Source organism: Homo sapiens, chromosome 1 (genome assembly GCF_000001405.40).
Source record: "Homo sapiens chromosome 1, GRCh38.p14 Primary Assembly".
Lineage (NCBI taxonomy): Eukaryota > Metazoa > Chordata > Mammalia > Primates > Hominidae > Homo > Homo sapiens.
Genome location: NC_000001.11, coordinates 145,276,282 through 145,294,735, shown reverse-complemented (window position 1 = coordinate 145,294,735; position 18,454 = coordinate 145,276,282). Strand labels below are relative to the sequence as shown.

The 18,454-nt window shown below is 45.8% G+C and overlaps 1 protein-coding gene, 2 non-coding genes and 1 pseudogene across 5 annotated transcripts in view, besides 5 other annotated features; 1 reads left to right on the top strand and 3 right to left on the bottom strand.

Moving 5' to 3' along the window:
* Positions 1-4,836, top strand: part of NBPF20 (NBPF member 20) — a 135,704-nt gene extending 130,868 nt beyond the window's left edge. Inside the window, exons 135-138 of one of the 3 annotated variants that reach the window (NM_001278267.1) lie at positions 664-715; positions 1,360-1,532; positions 2,247-2,355; positions 2,967-4,836. In NM_001278267.1, coding sequence (NP_001265196.1) covers positions 664-715; positions 1,360-1,532; positions 2,247-2,355; positions 2,967-3,210 — 578 coding nt within the window. In that variant the 3' untranslated portion in view covers positions 3,211-4,836. The remainder of the gene's footprint in view (positions 1-663; positions 716-1,359; positions 1,533-2,246; positions 2,356-2,966) is intronic. The other 2 variants (NM_001397211.1, XM_047446015.1) reach the window with 2 other exon arrangements.
* Positions 6,843-7,052: a silencer, noted in NCBI's record as "silent region_1260". NCBI's record gives its function as "represses an Ori minimal core promoter by ATAC-STARR-seq in GM12878 lymphoblastoid cells {active_cell/tissue: GM12878}" and the evidence as "EXISTENCE:reporter gene assay evidence [ECO:0000049][PMID:35858748]".
* LOC101060170 (uncharacterized) lies at positions 6,895-12,385 on the bottom strand (annotated as a pseudogene).
* On the bottom strand, positions 6,897-6,970 carry TRN-GTT2-7 (tRNA-Asn (anticodon GTT) 2-7). Its single transcript has one exon. It is a non-coding gene; the product is annotated as a tRNA-Asn (tRNA).
* Positions 12,904-13,243: a silencer, noted in NCBI's record as "fragment chr1:148241842-148242181 (GRCh37/hg19 assembly coordinates)". NCBI's record gives its function as "represses an EF-1alpha promoter that drives an FKBP-Casp9 reporter gene in an ReSE screen in K562 erythroleukemia cells {active_cell/tissue: K562}" and the evidence as "EXISTENCE:reporter gene assay evidence [ECO:0000049][PMID:32094911]".
* Positions 12,904-13,869: a biological region, named in NCBI's record as "NANOG-H3K27ac hESC enhancer GRCh37_chr1:148241215-148241940".
* Positions 13,145-13,869: an enhancer, noted in NCBI's record as "NANOG-H3K27ac hESC enhancer chr1:148241215-148241940 (GRCh37/hg19 assembly coordinates)". NCBI's record gives its function as "activates a minimal SCP1, AML or CMV promoter by ChIP-STARR-seq in naive H9 embryonic stem cells {active_cell/tissue: H9 hESC(naive)}" and the evidence as "EXISTENCE:reporter gene assay evidence [ECO:0000049][PMID:30033119]".
* Positions 13,411-13,700: a silencer, noted in NCBI's record as "silent region_1259". NCBI's record gives its function as "represses an Ori minimal core promoter by ATAC-STARR-seq in GM12878 lymphoblastoid cells {active_cell/tissue: GM12878}" and the evidence as "EXISTENCE:reporter gene assay evidence [ECO:0000049][PMID:35858748]".
* On the bottom strand, positions 13,457-13,620 carry RNVU1-14 (RNA, variant U1 small nuclear 14). Its single transcript, NR_104075.1, has one exon. It is a non-coding gene; the product is annotated as an RNA, variant U1 small nuclear 14 (small nuclear RNA).

Sequence of the window (18,454 nt, the reverse complement as noted above, 5' to 3'; positions counted from 1 at the left end):
GATAGGGGTGATATTCCTGTTCCAAGTGGCCCTTACTGACCCGAGAGATGTCATTGCCGCAGGCAGGACCTATGGGCGCATATAGGTTGTAATGAAACTGTAGTCTCAGTTGGAAGCCTAGACATGAAATGGGTCAGTGAGCAAGGCTCTATTCCTAGTCTCCAGCCATGCCTGTGGCAAGCTGAGCCCGCTCTCAGCACATTGGACCCAGGCAGATGTAAAAAATTCACAGAAGTATGATTTGGACTGAAGGGTTTGTAGATTTCCTCCTTCATTCTAATTTCAGTGTCTAAAATTCTTGCATCCATGAACGAGCTGGGCATTTGATGAGACAGGGCTGAATACTGCAGTTTTCCTCCTAGAAATCATCTGGGGCATTTTCTTTGAACTGATGGGAACAATAAGGCATAACTGTTTGCACAAACTTGGGATAAATGATTTTGGGATAACGATCTACCAGAATGGGGATATTTCACCCTTGGTTCTGAGATGCAAACCAAAGAATATCATGACCAGCTTTCAGGCCTCCTGAAGTATCTCTCTCACATTGTCCTGTTCTCATGCTGAGGAGCCTGAGATCCCTGTGTGGGGATTAGACAGTGGACTGTTATGGGTGTAGGTGAATTGGCTTATTTTGTCTGTCCCTGTCTGAATGTATTGCAGGAACTAAAAAGGACCAAGAAGAGGAAGAAGACCAAGGCCCACCATGCCCCAGGTAACTGAGCAATTGTGAACAGCTACTTCTGTGTTGACATCTGGAGACTCCTGGTTCAGGGAAAACAGAGCGGGCTGACATTATCGATTACATCTTTTCCAGCAAGCCTGAATTATTCCTACTAACATTGCTGTTGGTTTTCATTGCAGTAGATATTTAGGTTTCCATTTCTTCCTCCCCTTATCATTTACTAACCTACTGTAGGTGGACCAGACTTCAAAAACTGTATTCTCATGGCGACTGCATGGAAACTTGAGCACATTTTATGGAAAATTATTGAGCACAGTCTTTTCATGATCCCTGTATGCTGTGTGTCCTGAGGGCACTAACTCAGAGTGTCCTGTTACTCCCTCATCAGTGTGTCACCTGGACAATTCACTGAGCTCGTTCTCTGTGTGTGTGTGTGTGTGTCTGTGTGTGTGTGTGTGTGTGTGTGTGTGTGTGTGTCTATCTGTCTTTCTCTTTCATTCTTTTCCATTTGGCCCTGTTCTGTCCCAACATGAAGGCAATAATTTGTTACCTCATTAATGGATCTATCCTTTTAGTTTTTTAACCACTTCCCTATGCTACCCATGAAACCTAGTTGGGGCTCTGTTGTGTCTGATTTCCCCTGGCTTATTCTTTACTTTTTCCTCCTTTTCCAGGCTCAGCAGGGAGCTGCTGGAGGTAGTAGAGCCTGAAGTCTTGCAGGACTCACTGGATAGATGTTATTCAACTCCTTCCAGTTGTCTTGAACAGCCTGACTCCTGCCAGCCCTATGGAAGTTCCTTTTATGCATTGGAGGAAAAACATGTTGGCTTTTCTCTTGACGTGGGAGGTGAGTACCTTTCTATGAAGGTGATAAGGATCCACTGAGTCTTCCATATAAAGATCATATTCCTGCTCCAAGTGGCCATTACTGAGCTGAGAGATGTCATTGCCACAGGGAGGACCTATAGGCACATGTAGGTTGAATGAAACTCTAGTTCTACCTGGAAGCCCAGGCAAGGGATGGGTCAGTGAGCAAGACTCTCTTCCTAGTCTCAGGCCATACCTGTGGCGCCCTGATCCTATCCTCATGACATTGGACCTGGGCAGATGTGACAAATTCAGAGAACTATGATTTTGACTCAAGGGTTTGTAGATTTCCTTTTTCACTCTAATTTCAGTGTCTAAAGTCCTCACAACCATGAACAATCTGAGTATTTGATGAGACAGGGCTAAATATTGCAGTTTTTCTCCTAGAAATCATTTGAGGGTATTTGCTTTAAGTTGATTGGAAAAATATGGCATAACTGTTTGCACAAACTTGGGACAAATGATATTGGGATAACGATCTACTAGAATAGGGACATTTTACCCACAGTTTCTGGGAGAAAAACCGAGGAAGTTCTATCATGAACAGCCTTCAGGCCTCCTGAAATATATCTCTCAAAGTGTCCTATTCTTATGCTGGGGAGCCTGAGGTCCCTGTGTGAGGATTAGACAGTGGATTGTTATGTGTGTAGGGGAATCAGCTTAATGTGTCTGTCCATGTCTGAATTTATTGCAGAAATTGAAAAGAAGGGGAAGGGGAAGAAAAGAAGGGGAAGAAGATCAAAGAAGAAAAGAAGAAGGGGAAGAAAAGAAGGGGAAGAAGATCAAAACCCACCATGCCCCAGGTGACTTTCAGCAATTGTGGATGCTTAATTCTGTGTTAACACCTGGAGGCAACAGATTCAGGGAAACCAGAGTGTGTTTGATGTCATGTTTTCAACGAAGGCTGAATTACTCCTACTGTCATTGCTGTTGGTTTTCATTGCAGTAGATGTTTAGGTTTCCATTTCTTCCTCCCCTTATCTTTTACTAACGTGCCATAGGTTGACCATACTTCAAAAGCTGTACTCTCATGGCCACTGCATCGAATTTTGAGCATATTTTATGGAAAACTATTGAGCTCACTCTTTTCATGATCACAGTTTGCTGTGTGTCATGAGGACACTAACTCAGAGTGTCCTTTGACTCCCTTACCAGTATGTCACCTGGGCAATTCACTAGGTCACTTTCTCTCTCTCTCTGTCTCTGTCTCTCTCTCTCTGTCTTTCTCTTTCATTGTTTTCTACCTGGCCCTGTTCTATCCCAACATATAGGCAATAAATTTTTTTTTTACCTCATTAATGGATCTATCCTTTTTCTTTTCTAACCACTTCCTTATGTGACTTCTGAAATCTAGTGGGGCTCTGTGGTTTCTGATTTTCCCTGGCTGCTTCTTTAGTTTTGTCTCCTTTTCCAGGCTCAACGGCGTGCTGATGGAAGTGGAAGAGCCTGAAGTCTTACAGGACTCACTGGATGGATGTTATTCTACTCCGTCAATGTACTTTGAACTACCTGACTCATTCCAGCACTACAGAAGTGTGTTTTACTCATTTGAGGAACAGCACATCAGCTTCGCCCTTTACGTGGACAATAGGTTTTTTACTTTGACGGTGACAAGTCTCCACCTGGTGTTCCAGATGGGAGTCATATTCCCACAATAAACAGCCCTTACTAAGCCGAGAGATGTCATTCCTGCAGGCAGGACCTATAGGCACGTGAAGATTTGAATGAAAGTACAGTTCCATTTGGAAGCCCAGACATAGGATGGGTCAGTGGGCATGGCTGTATTCCTATTCTCAAACCATGCCAGTGGCAACCTGTGCTCAGTCTGAAGACAATGGACCCACGTTAGGTGTGACACGTTCACATAACTGTGCAGCACATGCCGGGAGTGATCAGTCAGACATTTTAATTTGAACCACGTATCTCTGGGTAGCTACAAAATTCCTCAGGGATTTCATTTTGCAGGCATGTCTCTGAGCTTCTATACCTGCTCAAGGTCATTGTCATCTTTGTGTTTAGCTCATCCAAAGGTGTTACCCTGGTTTCAATGAACCTAACCTCATTCTTTGTGTCTTCAGTGTTGGCTTGTTTTAGCTGATCCATCTGTAACACAGGAGGGATCCTTGGTTGAGGATTGTATTTCAGAACCACCAACTGCTCTTGACAATTGTTAACCCGCTAGGCTCCTTTGGTTAGAGAAGCCACAGTCCTTCAGCCTCCAATTGGTGTCAGTACTTAGGAAGACCACAGCTAGATGGACAAACAGCATTGGGAGGCCTTAGCCCTGCTCTTCTCAATTCCATCCTGTAGAGAACAGGAGTCAGGAGCCGCTGGCAGGAGACAGCATGTCACCCAGGACTCTGCCGGTGCAGAATATGAACAATGCCATGTTCTTGCAGAAAACGCTTAGCCTGAGTTTCATAGGAGGTAATCACCAGACAACTGCAGAATGTAGAACACTGAGCAGGACAACTGACCTGTCTCCTTCACATAGTCCATATCACCACAAATCACACAACAAAAAGGAGAAGAGATATTTTGGGTTCAAAAAACGTAAAAAGATAATGTAGCTGCATTTCTTTAGTTATTTTGAACCCCAAATATTTCCTCATCTTTTTGTTGTTGTCATGGATGGTGGTGACATGGACTTGTTTATAGAGGACAGGTCAGCTGTCTGGCTCAATGATCTACATTCTGAAGTTGTCTGAAAATGTCTTCATGATTAAATTCAGCCTAAACGTTTTGCCGGGAACACTGCAGAGACAATGCTGTGAGTTTCCAACCTCAGCCCATCTGCGGGCAGAGAAGGTCTAGTTTGTCCATCACCATTATGATATCAGGACTGGTTACTTGGTTAAGGAGGGGTCTAGGAGATCTGTCCCTTTTAGAGACACCTTACTTATAATGAAGAAGTACTTGGGAAAGCGGTTTTCAAGAGTATAAATATCCTGTATTCTAATGATCATCCTCTAAACATTTTATCATTTATTAATCCTCCCTGCCTGTGTCTATTATTATATTCATATCTCTACACTGCAAATTTTGGGTCTCAATTTTTACTGTGCCTTTGTTTTTACTAGTGTCTGCTGTTGCAAAAAGAAGAAGACATTCTCTGCCTGAGTTTTAATTTTTGTCCAAAGTTAATTTTAATCTATACAATTAAAACCTTTTGCCTATCACTCTGGACTTCTGGATTGTTTTTTACATTCAGTGTTATAATATTTGATTATGCTGATTGGTTTTGGTGGGTACTGATGCGAATTAATAAAAACATTTCATTTCCATGTTTATTTTCTAATCTCTTCCACATTGTAGGCTATGTTTACCATATGTAGCAGAATGTATTTACATTTCTTGGTTCTAGTCATTTGTATTCTTCGTGAGTGTGAGTGTGTGTGTGTCTGTGTGTCTGCGTGTGTGTCTGTGTGTGCCTTTGGCATTTAGGAAGGGTTGTATAGCTCATGTTAAATATTGCACTAAAAATGTTTTTGATGGTTTTCCTCCCTTTTAACTAGACACACTTCTAATATTTGGTTTATAGTTTTAAATTATAACTTTCAGCATCAAATATTTCCATACAACAGTCAATTACATGATGTGTTTTCTTTTTCCTACCTCCTTTACCTGCCACTTCTCATAATAGTATTTGAACCTAAACATATACCGGTGACATTCTGTGATTATCATCTTGCCCCTACCTTGGTTTTGGTTTTTGGTGCAGTTCCAGGCTCTTGGTGTCTTTGTTTGGGACACCAAGAGCCTGGAACTGCACGGCACCAGCTGGTAAGAATTAGGCTTTTTTGGCCGGGCGCGGTGGCTTATGCCTGTAATCCCAGCACTTTGCGAGGCCAAGGCGGGCGGATCACGAGGTCAGGAAATCGAGACCATCCTGGCTAACACGGTAGAACCCCATCTCTACTAAAAATAAAAAAAATTAGCCGGGCGTGGTGGCAGGCGCCTGTAGTCCCAGCTACTCGGGAGGCTGAGGCAGGAGAATGGCCTGAACCCGGGAGGCGGAGCTTGCAGTGAGCCGAGATCACGCCACTGCACTCCAGCCTGGGCGACAGAGAGAGACTCTGTCTCAAAAAAAAAAAAAAAAAAAAAAAAAAGGCTTTTTTTTTTCCCTAAGGGTTAACAACAAACCAGCCCTTTGGAAAGACTTGCTTCACCACTGTTACCAACCAACGGCCTGATGCTTTCCCTCAGTTTTGTGATTTTGACAAAACAAGCAAGCAGCATTCCCTCCTGATAAGAGACCACCGACCTAGGAATGATTCTGGCCAGACTAGAGAGGATGCACAGTGAGGGTTTTCATGTCCTCTGCTTCAGCTTTTGATGTCAGAGGGCCACAAACTCCACTCTCAGATGATTGCTAATGCCACCATTTTATGAACATGGACCCCATGGAGAGGCACGAAGCTCAATTGCACTTCTGCACATTTTTCCTCCTATAAATATTGCTATTGGAATATTATTTGGTACGGCTCCCGTGAAAGATACATTTGCAGAATGTACTCAAATTAGAAGCATCATGTAAAGCCTATAATGTAGCAATAGTGCATCAACTTCCCTACACTATAGAAATATCTGCGGTGTAGACATTTCCACAATGACCAGATATGTGTACAAGAAAGGTGGCTGCAGCATTCTTTGTAATCCTAAAACAATGAAACCTACCTCATCTCAAAAACTTTATTTTTTTATTTTTATTTTTTTTTTGAGATGGAGTCTCGCTCTGTTGCCCAGGCGGGAGTGTAGCAGTGCAGCCTCCATTGGTGCAGCCTCCACTGCAGCCTCCACCTCCCAGGTTCAAATGATTCTCCTGCCTCAGAATCCCAAGTACCTGGGATTACAGGCACATGCCACCATGCCTGGCTAACAAAAACATTTTGAAAAGGGTTAAATAAATCATGCACAAACTGAGGAAAAATACTCTTCAAAAATGATGGAGAGGATCACTATGATGATGAATGATTCCACTGGTCACATTATTGATAGAGCAATCAGTAAATCCAGGCACATCCTCGGGATATTACTGACCTCCTATTATTAACATATGAAAAAATGGAGGCATGTAAATTACTCATTTAAGCGTATAACGGACTGAATTAGAATTTTATCACACCAGAAGTGGGTTCCTAGGTCTCTGTTTCAGGATTCCTGAGTTACACACGTATAAACCCAGGATTTCAGGAGATACCCGGTTAAGAATCCGGTTGGGGAGGTGGGCTGGCCCTTGACATGGATAAGTCACAAATTAGTGGCTTAGGACTCCAGGAAGATAAAATCTTCCCCATTTATCTAGTGATTGACAATGCATGAATACTTTAAAAGCTCAAAGAGGCGTCCCTGGGTGGGCTCGAACCACCAACCTTTCGGTTAACAGCCGAACGCGCTAACCGATTGCGCCACAGAGACAGGTACTGTTAGTTCTACTGGGCGCTATAGGAAGGGCGCACGCACGAAACTTCCTCCGTCCCTTGCATCCTCAGGGCCCGCCCGGCAGGAGGACTGAGCAAGGCCTTGGAAAACTGGAGAGATTGGAGCGGTAAGTCGCGCTGGTCACGTTGGACACCTGCGCGTTGGGAGATTCTGGAGCCAGAAGGATAGCCGAATGGCCTTCGCCCGCCCTGCCCCTCGCCTGCTTCAGAAACCCCCGGAAACGCCCCGGTTGAGACCCCGGCCCGAGCCGCCTGGGGGCCCTAGGGAGGCTGAACGCCCGGTGGCTCCCGGGATGGCTCTTCCCATTCTTTGCGCCGCCTTCACCCAGTGAGGGAGCCTGTGCCCTCCCTGCCCAGTCGCTTTTGGGGCCGCTGCGGAGCTTCCGCTGCCATCTTCGGATCCTGTGTTCCGCACGGGGGCTCCACCAGGGCAGGGATCGTGGTGAGGGTGGCTCGTGGGTCCCCCTCACGGGGAGCAGGGTCTGGCACTCACCAGGGCGCAGGACTAGGACTTGTCGAATGAATCCATCCTTTTAGCTTTTAGTCCTTTGAAGAGCCTTGAGAATGGAAATCATGAGAGATTTTTCCATGGGGAAGTTCCTTTTACAAAGCATTTATTTACGTTGACTTCTTGACACCCCGCGGGGCGGCAACGGGCAGGGCCTCCAGTGCACCTTCTGCGCCGTGGAGCCGCGGGGGCTCAGCTGGGCGGTGGTCGGGTCCTGAGGCCGGAGGGCGGGAGCAGGGGAGGGGAAAAGCAAAAGCGGGGAAAGAAGCCGGGGAGCGGTGGACCAGACGTCCAGACCTCCTGAAAGGCTGGCGGGGAGGCACAGGCGGGATCTTCCGGAGGTGAGAATTTTTTTTTATTATAGCAGAATGGGGAGGAATTGAGGGGAAAATGGAGATAGAACCTGAAAGAGCCCCAAACGCCAGAACCTGTAGCTCCCCAAGAATAAGATCTTCCAGAAGAACTAGACCCAAAACTAGCCGTTGGGGAACACCGAAATCCTTGGAGGAGCAACATCCGCATGACCCTCTGTGTTTCTTTAGGCAAAAGGACTTGCTTCCATTGTTTGTTCAATTGTTTGTGTTTGTTAAATAAATAAAACGATTTTCATGTATCTTTGAAATTACTTTGGCGCTACTATTTTATGATTGCAAATAATTCGGCAGTGATCATTCTTGTACACTTCTCATTGGCCATTTGTGTATTTCTATAGGGTAGAGGCCTGGAGAGCAGTTGCTCCAGCATAGGGATTACACAGTTTTTGTTTGTTTGTTTATTTATTTATTTATTTATTTATTTTTGAGACAGAGTCTCGCTCTGTCACCCAGGCTGGAGTGCAGTGGCGCCATCTCAGCTCTCACTGCAACCTCCGCCTCCCGGGTTCAAGCGAATCTCCTGCTTCAGCCTCCCAAGTAGCTGAGATTACAGGTCCGCGCGAGCCACCACATCGGGCTAATTTTTGTATTTTTAGTAGAGACGGGGTTTCACCATTTTGGCCAGGCAGGTCTCAAACTCCTGACCTCAAGTGATCTGCCTGCCTTGGCCTCTCAAAGTGCTGGGATTACAGGCATGAGCCACCGCACCCAGCGATTACATGTTTTTTTTTTATATATCATTCTATTTTCTTTCCTTATTTGGCTTATTAGCTGTAACTCTTTCTTTTGTTATGTCAGTGATGGCTTTAGGGTCCCTAGAATACATCTTTATCCGTCTGCCATCAAGTGACATTATACCTCCCCTTCTGGCCTTTATGCTAGTGTTGTCAGGGAATTTGATTTTGGACATGTTATAAACCCCAACATCCAAGTACGTACATAGCGATTTTCAGTCGTCTCCATTTCTTTGTGTAGGTTCAGATTTCTGTTTGGTATCCTTATCCTTAGGCCTGGAGGACTCCTTTAATATTTCTTGTAGTGTGGTTCGGTGAATTCTGTCATTTTTTTGTATGTCTTTAAATGTCCTGATTTCAGTCACATTTTTGAAAGATATTTCAATTTGGCATAGAATTCTAGAATAACTTTTTTTCTCTCAGTACTTTAGGATGTTGCCACTTTGACGCTTTGTCATTGACATATCTTTCCTGTTTTTGTAAACTTGGCATAAAGTGGGTTTCCTGTACTTGTTATATGATTTTTGGATTGTGTATTCAAATTAAAAGTATTAAATTAAAATTAAAATGGCCTGGGCGAGGTGGCTCACACCTGTAATCCCAGCACTTTGGGAAGGGGAGGCAGAGGATCGCTTGAGACCCAGAGTTGGAGACCACCCTGGGCAAGATAGCAAGACCCTGTGTGTGTGTGTGTGTGTGTGTATACACATAAATATGTATATATATTATATGTATGTATGTATATATAAGTCCTACAGTCACCTTAAGTTCCACCAACAGTGCGCTTAAAGTAAAATGTGCCCAACCTGAGGCTCAAACCTACCTGCTGGCACGCAATTTGTGTTTGTGAGACAATCTCAACAGCATTTGCTTTTTCTAGCATAGTGGTTTTCCTGTTTTCCTCACATGTGAATGTCTTCAGTGCAAAACCTGTCAGAATTCATTTCCTTTGCTAAAATGTTTTAAAATAACTCTTACTTCAAGTAAGTGCATTAAAAATAAACTTCTCAGTTGCATCCCTGGAATCCATGGAAAGTCCAGGAGAGACAATCAAGTGCTACAGGATCAAGCCCAAACAGAACAGGACTAGGCATGGCTTCCTCACTAGGAGCCAGGCCAAAGTCATCTCCTTTGGTCTCCAATGGAGGCCAGAACTCGGTTCACCTGCAACGGGAGGACCTGGCCCAGAAGAGGTGGCCTTCATCTTCATGGTGCCTTCAGATAGGAAATCTAGGATTTCTTTTCTTCTCTTTGATCTACTTCCAACTCTCCCTTTCTATTTATTTATTTATTTATTTATTTATTTGAGACAGAGTCTTGCTGTGTTGCCCAGGCTAGAGTGCAGCGGGGCAGTCTCAGCTCACTGCACCTCCGCCTCCTGGGTTCTAGAGATTCTCCTGCCTCAGCCTCCTGAGTAGCTGGGATTACAGGCGCCCGTCACCGTGCCCGGCTACTTGTTGTATTTTTAGTAGAGACAGGGTTTCACCATCTTGGCCAGGCTGGTCTCGAACTCGTGACCTCGTGATCCACCCACCTCGGCCTCCCAAAGTGCTGGGATTACAGGCGTGAGCCACCGCATCTGGCCCTCCCTTTCTATTTCTTCAAGACCTTTTTCGGATCCCTCCTGCGCAGGACCTAAACGGGCGGTGCCCTTACCCACTGGTCCCTCCCTGCCTGGTGTCTTCGGAGCCCTAGCTCACCCGGAACGTTACTGCCCGCCGGTGACAGCGAGAGGACCAAAGAGGGCAGCGGGTGCGGTGGGAACCACAGAGTCACCGCGCACCTGCGCCTCGCAGGCTCCTCGCAAATTGAATAAACGCCCCCTGAAGCTTCTCTTCAAGTCACAGGGAAGGGGAAGGTGGCTGCCGACCCGGCGGGAGAAGCCGGCCCTGCCCCTGGTCCTTGAAGACAGGTTTGGCCAGGCTGATTTTGACTGGTAGGCCCAAAGAAAAGCCTCAAGGGCAGACCAAACTCCGACAGGCTCCGAGATTAAGGCTTTCAAACGTCTGATCGTTTTCAGCTTGGTCAGTAAAATCGATCCCGCCTTTATCAGGAGATTCCTTTGTCAAAGTTCAGAGACCTGGGGTTCCCGCTGCTTGCCACACAGAAAACCAATCACTGAGACGGTTATTGCCAAGGAAGAGGCTTTAATAGGGTGCTGCAGCGGAGGAGATGAGAACTCAGTCTCAAATCCATCTCCCTGACCAACCAAAACTAGAGGCTTAGATGGCAGGGAAAGAATGTGACAATGTGTAAGAAAACAGGAACTAGACCAGGCGCGGTGGCTCACGCCTGTAATCCCAGCACTTTGGGAGGCCGAGGCGGGCGAATCACGAGGTCAGGAGATCGAGACCATCCTGGCTAACACGGTGAAACCCCGTCTCTACTAGAAATACGAAAAGAAATTAGCCGGGAGTGGTGGCGGGCGCCTGTAGTCCCAGCTACTCGGGAGGCTGAGGCAGGAGAATGGCGTGAACCCGGGAGGCGGAGCTTGCAGTGAGCCAAGATAGCGCCACTGCACTCCAGCCTGGGAGGCAGAGGGAGACTCTGTCTCAAAAAGAAAAAAGAAAAAAAAAGAAAAAAGAAAAGAAAGAAAACAGGAACTAGGGAGGGGCAAGGAAGCAATCAGGATGAATGAGGGGTCCGGCATCTCATTGTCTGGGTGACTTTCAGTTCTTTGATATCTTTTTTGAGAGGCCTGAAGGAAGGAACTCAAATAAAACAAATATCGAGTTTCAAACTTTCAGATCAGAAGGGTCCATTTCTATGTTTATCCAAAAATCTACGTATGGGACTATTGGGTGGGTTTCAGACCAAGAAAGAGTGTGCATATCAAAGTCTGCGGTTAACCAAAGAGAAAACATAATTTTCCGACCAATAGGATGTATGGGGGTCAAAGAACGACCAGCCTACAGTACTGTTTATTGGCCTGAGCATACGGAAGGATGAAGTTGCACCAGCGAAATGGGATTAAGCTGCAGGTGCGGGCTGGGCGCGGTAGCTCACACCTGTAATCCCAGCACTCTGGGAGGCTGAGGTGGGTGGATCACTTGAGATCAGGAGTTTGAGACCAGCCTGACCAACATGGTGAAACCTCGTCTCTAATAAAAATACAAAAATTAGCCGGGCGTCATGGCGGGCACCTGTAGTCCCAGCTACTAGGGAGGCCGAGGCAGGAGAATTGCTTGAACCCGGGAGATGGAGGTTTTAATGAGCCGAAATTGCGCCACTGCCCTCCAGCCCAGGCAACAGACCGAGACACCTTCTCAAGCAAAAATAAAAACAAAAAGCTGCAGGTGGAAAAAAAAGTCTGGATTTTGGTTCAGAGCCCCTGGGGCCTTCCTCAGTAGTTTTCTCTTTCCTTGAAAAAGGAAGCTTGTCTCAGTCTCTGCATCTCTCTGAGTCCTTTTGGAGATTGAGGATGGTGAGGTCTCAGTGCTTGGCCCCCTTCTAACTCTGGGTACCTCCCCTCCCGTGGGTCAACCTGGTCCAGTGCACAGGCCCCAGCTCCGACGACCATCTCCCCCCTACCCTTTGCTCCCAGCAAAGGCCATTTCTAGGTCAGTCGTGAGGTACAGCCAGGACAGGGCAGCTCGCTCCGAGATTTTTGGCTCTCGAAGGCCTTGAGCGCTGTGGTTCTGCAGAACGCTGTCTGCCTCTGGTGGAGGAACTGACACCCGCTGGAGAAAGTGTGGAGGGAAGCGAGGGCTGCACCTGCACGCAGGAGCTGAGGCAAGCGGCGGTTCCCAGCTCTCAGTGCAAAAGACATTTGTCATCTGAGAGGCTGGACTCAGTTATTATAATTTTCAATTTTGTCAATAAAAACCGAATGGAAATTTGTTTTCTTACTTGTAGAAACCTCCTCACAAGACCTCCCATCTTACATTCCAGGGAGACTTAGCAGGGTATTCCGCCAAGACATAGGTTAGACTGCGGTTCTGAACTGCAGACCTCGATGCCCTGCGCCGGGGCACCAGGGCATGGGCAAAGCCCTCCCCCTACACAAAGCAAGGGTGTTATGCCTACAACCGAACGGGGACACTAAGAGCCCCCAACATGCACGGTTTTCATTCCAAAGAAAACCACCAGTTCTGAGTACAACTTCCACCTGGCTCTATTAACTGAGTACACGTTTCCCCAGCACAGAAATCCTACAAACTCCCGTGAATGCTGTGGTGAAAAGCAGGAGCTGCCAGGGCAAGATGGATCGCACCTGTAATCCCAGCACTTCAGAAGGCTGGGCGGACCACTTGAGCCCAGGAGTTGGAGCCCAGCCTGAGCAGAATGGTGAAACCGCTACGAAAAAAGAAAAAGAAAGAGAAAGAAAAGAAAAGAAAAAAAAAAAAAGAGAAAAAACTAGCCGGGTGTGGTGGCGTGCGGTTGTCCTACTCGGGAGCCTGAGATGGGAAGATCGCGCCACTTCTCCAGCCTGGACGGTACAGCGAGACTTGTCTTAGGGAGGGGGGGAAAAAACAACAACAAAAAAACAGAGGCTAAGAGGTAACTCCGAGGATGACAGAAAACACCAGAGTTTTTAAGAGATGTTAGAAGCCCTGGGAGCACTGAACAAACCAGAAAGCTCCCGACCCTTGATCCCTGAGCTCCACCTAGCAAGTACCGCGGCAGCTAACCTGGGAGAACAACCCAACCAACAGAGACTGAAATTCGCCTCCCAAGAGAGCAAGTGGATAGTTCTAAGCTGTCCCCAAACATGGCCTCACAAAGGAAAACTAACCGTTGCGAACGGAAACAACTGACCGGACAGAACACAGCCACAAAACACGAGCCCGCACCCTGAATTACAAAAACACTTACGGCTCACCTACTATTCGCACCACAGAAGCACCAAGAGAAAGCGCGAACGTAGTTCCCTACTATCACAAATTATGCACTCGAGTTTCCCACACTTGGGGAAATCGCAGGGGTCAGCACATCCGGAACGCAATGGATAAGCTTCGCCCTGAGAAAAACCACCTTCGTGATCATGGTATCTCCCCTTCCAGGTAAGTATGAGCTTTTGCACCTCCGCCCCGCCACAGCCTCACACGCTTCACCCTTTACACGCACGGTCACTTGCCCCGCGAACGCCCCCCCCCCCACCCCACCCCCCCACCGCCCACAGCCCTCCTAGCCCTGACACACAGCTGGGACTCTCAGGTCCGACCAGCGGTCCTGAACCCGCTCCCACGGCACGGGAACTCCTTAGTGGCGAAGCAGCAGCCCCTGCGCTGCCTCATCTACATAGAAATCGCCCTATCCGTGATGTCACCGACAGCGCCTTTCCCAGTCCCCGTCTGCTCTTCCGCCCCACCCTCCGCCGACTCAGCCGATCAACCCGCTGCCGGAGCTGGCGGAGGAAGTGACGTCTGTCTCTTTCTCCTTTTCCTCCTGCCATTGTCCTTTGGGGAGGTGTGCAGAGATCCCGCGTCTGGTCTCCCCCTAAGACTGTGGTACTTGATCTGTGTCCTGCAGAGAACCCTTCTGGCGGCCAACAGGAAGCTTGTGCACCCTTCTTCAGATAATGTCTTTTAATGCGCAGACTTGAACGTTTAGGATTACAAGGAAAACCGGTTCCTTTCAAACCTGTTTATCTTTGTGATGTAGCATTCCGTTTCAAGTTGAAAGCCGTTCAATGTCAGAGAGAAAACATATCTATGAAACCAGAGAGGCTGCTCAGATGGGTTGCAAACTAGCCATCCTTACTGGTTTTACCACTAGAAGTGTTACAAAGACAGTTGTCCAATTTTATGAATCTTGAAGGGTTTTTTGTTGTTGTTGTTGTTATTTCAAATACAGTGTAATACAAAAATATGTGGCCCCCGCAGAGACGATTGGACACTCTCAGGCATGGTGATGGAGTTTGTCATCTCTTCCACGGCCATCTCAGAACCTTAGTGCTTACCTCATGTTAGTATTTTATATTCTCCAAAGACACAAAGATAATCCCAATTTGACAAAACAAACAAAAAAACATCTAGGGCATGTCTTATTTGAGGCGCTTAACAAATGACTGGATCATCTCCCTTGTATATAACCCAGAAAACACTGTGAAGTAGAGCAAAATTGGAAAGCCCAAGTCAAAGACCATTTGCAAATTTCAAGTAGATTCCAGTCTGTTGCTCAAATCACAAAACATGAAATGGAGGGGTCTCCCTTGGAGACCATAAAGTCTGTGACATGGTGGCCAGTTGGGTCACTGGAAAACATGGCAAAATATTGAAAATGAGGGATTAGGTGAGAGTGTAGCAACTGAACACTAAATGCTTGATCCAGGTGCCATTCCTGGATACTGACAGGGAGACACATTGTCCAGGTAATACTGGAAAAATACTTTCTATAGTGTAAACCACAAATAAAATTCCAAGCCCCTCAACTATTTGAATGCACCCCTCCTCTCAGCCAGGGTCATTCCAAAGTTAACCTGAAAAACTGGTTCAGACCATGATGGGAAGTAGGGGTCAGATATGCCTCATTATACCCTCCTTCCTTTGGAATTCAGGCACAACTGACCAGCACATCCGACCAGGCCCAACTGACATTACAACAGCGATCTCAAGACTTTTTGTAGCAATAAGACACCAAACTCCAGGCTGACTCTAGTGTAGCATTACATGACAGATAGCAGGCCCTGAAAGAAATACAAATATTTTACCCTAAAATACATTTTTTATCATATTTTGAAATGTCCCTACAAAGTTGTCTCTTGTGGGGAAAGTCTACATGCTACAGGGAATCCCTTTCCAGGCCTTTTCCCTAATCTAGGCACCTTTTTAAGTCTGATAAGAAACATTTACAATCAATTCTCTCTGAAGCCTGCTACCTGGAGGCTTCATCTGCATAATAAGAACAACCCCTTAACACAGAGACTGCCTTCTATGGATTCCAGGTCTTTAGATAAACTCTTTCAACCAATTGCCAGTCAAAGTATCAGAAAATAACGGCTGGTAACTATGTAATTATGCATATATATGAGTAGAATTTTGGGGGTGGGCACAGTGGCTCATGCCTGTAATCCCAGCACTCCCTCAGGAGGCTGGCAGATTGCCTGAGTCCAGGAGTTTGAGACCAGCCTGGGAAACATGGTGAAACCCCATCTCTACAAAAAAAAAAAAAAAAAAAAAAATTAGCCAGGCATGGTGGTGAGCACCTGTGGTCCCAGCTACTCAGGAGGCTGAGGTGGGAGGGTTACTTGAGCCTGGGAGGTGAAGGTTGCAGTGACCCAAGCTTGCAACACTGCACTTCAGCCTGGATGACAGAGGAATGGGCCTTCACTAGACACTGAACCTGCTGGCAACTTGATCTTGGACTGACCATCCTCCATAACTTGAGCAATAAATTTTTGTTGTTTATAAGTTACTCACTCTGTGGTATTTTGTTATAGCAGCACAACTGGATTAGGACATCAACCTGACCTTAAGAAATCATCTCATTCAGTCTTGGCTCTGGTGGGAAACAAGGGGCACACTCGGATGTGTGATTTAAAGAGAGTTGTGTTTTTTTTTTTTTTTTTTTTTGAGATGGAGTCTCGCTCTATTGCCCAGGCTGGAGTGCAGTGGTGCCATCTCGGCTCACTGCAAGCTCCGCCTCCCGGGTTCACGCCATTCTCCTGCCTCAGCCTCCCGAGTAGCTGGGACTACAGGCGCCCGCTACCACACCCGGCTAATTTTTTGTATTTTTAGTAGAGAGCGGGTTTCACCACGTTGGCCAGGATGGTCTCGATCTCTTGACCTCCCAAAGTGCTGGGATTACAGGCGTGAGCCACCGCGCCCGGCCTAAAGAGAGTTTTATGAAGAGAATATTTATAAATATAATATGGACAGGATCAAAACAACCCAACCAAGGACTGAGAGGCGCTCAGAATCTGGAATCAGCAGAGAAGTTGTATTGCCTCTAGGACTGGATTGTTGTATAAGTCTGTTCAGGTTGCCATAACAACCTGGACAGGACCGTAGTCCTGTCCAGTGATCCTCCCCAAGACAACCGTTCTCTCTAGTAACTATGGTTTTCCTTTCTCATTTCAATTGCCACCTCAATTGACTGAAATGTGAACACCAACTCCCGCACTTAAACGTTGAAGCCCTAACACCCACTGTGATGATTTATGCAGCTGGGGCCTTTGAAAGGTAATCAGGATTAAAAGAGGTTATGAGAGTGGTGTCCTCATGCTGAGATTAATGCCATTACAAGAAGAGAGACACTAGAAAGCTTGCTTGTCCGCCTTCCCCCTGGTGCACGAAGAAATGGTCACATGGGCACACAGTGAATCTACAGCCACTTACAGGCCATAGGAAGAGACCTTAGAAAGGAATCCGCTTTGCTACCACCTTTATCTTGGACTTCCCAACTTCCAGAAGTGTGAGAAATACATTTCTATAGTTTAAGCCACTTGGTGTATGGTATCTTGTTATGGCAACCTGAACAGACTTATACAACAATTAAGTTGCCTTTCCACTGATGGACTTAGACACAATCTCTTTCCCAAAAAAGAGCTATATTTAGCTACTTTTCTTTTGCATATTGTTCCATTTGCAGCCACACTATTTGTCTTCCCCCACACCACTTCTATCACCAGGAATCCATTTTCCTTGTTTTCTTTTTAATATCGGGAGCCTCTGCTCACTGCACTGCATAGTCCTTGGGGCTTTTTTTAAACTTTATTTTTAACAATCATTTGAGCAGAAAGTAGCCAATTCAGTTCTTTAATTTCCCATTTTATTCTTGGTTTGAAACTGACCTGATTGTGTCCCTTTTGTTATGACCAGTTACTTAGAAGCCATACAGCCCACAAGGTGCCCTTGGGTATAAATCCAACTTCTTCATTTTAATGGTGAGAAACCAAAAGCCCACGTTTCCTGATTTCTGGCCCAGCACTGGAACTGTTTTCATGGCACGTCAATTCATCATACATTTTAATAGTGATATTTTATATTTGCATAATTTTATTGCCTTTGCAATGGGCTTTCACATCTATCTTCTCATGTGTATATAGTTTAAAGGCCATTTTTACCCACTATCTCCTAATCATATCGACCACAGCCTCAGGAAATGTCTGCTCTATTATTTCACTTGCCTGTCTGGGTTCTTGGGCGACAGCATAGAATCCTGCACTGTGTTTTCCCTCACGCTTTCTCACTCTCTGCAGAACAAATTTTTGTTACATGCCTTATTATCATGGTAATATTGGCCTTCAGTCCTGTATAGAAGCATTAAAAATGTGCGTAATGTATATCCTTTTAAAATGTTATCCTAAGAAGCATCTTTTGGAGTTAAGGAGAGTTAGATGAATAAAGAAAGAATACAGTTTCTCCTAAACAAACCCACTAAGAAAATCATGGAAAGAATTATGACAACTATGAAAATGAAGGAGGTATACTTTGTCAACAAAAGCAAAATAACCAAGCTACTCTTAGACATAATCTCACGTTATCTTTCTGTAGTGCTCTAGCATTTTCTAAGCCTTTCACACACTGTTATCTCTTTTTTTCTTTCTCCTTCTAGAAATTAATTATGACTTTTCCTTTCAAAAATGAAGGACTTTTTTTTTTTTTTTACTCTTTTCATTTTTTCCTGAGACCATATGTCAAAGGGAATGTGAGGAACAACTTTGGTGTGGTAATAGCCAAATTCCTCCAGGTCTGCTCCTCAAGCTTGCAAAGTCAAGACTGGCAGAAGTGGTGATTTTTACCTGGGTATCCTGAGAACCTTGCACAGTCTTTATCACATGCAGGTGTTCAGAGTGTGCAAATAAACGAAGAAATGTGAGATTGTGATGATATTTTCATGGCATGCTTTTTTTCCACACTTCCTCATGCAGCCCAACATCCTCTACACTGTGTTGTTCACTT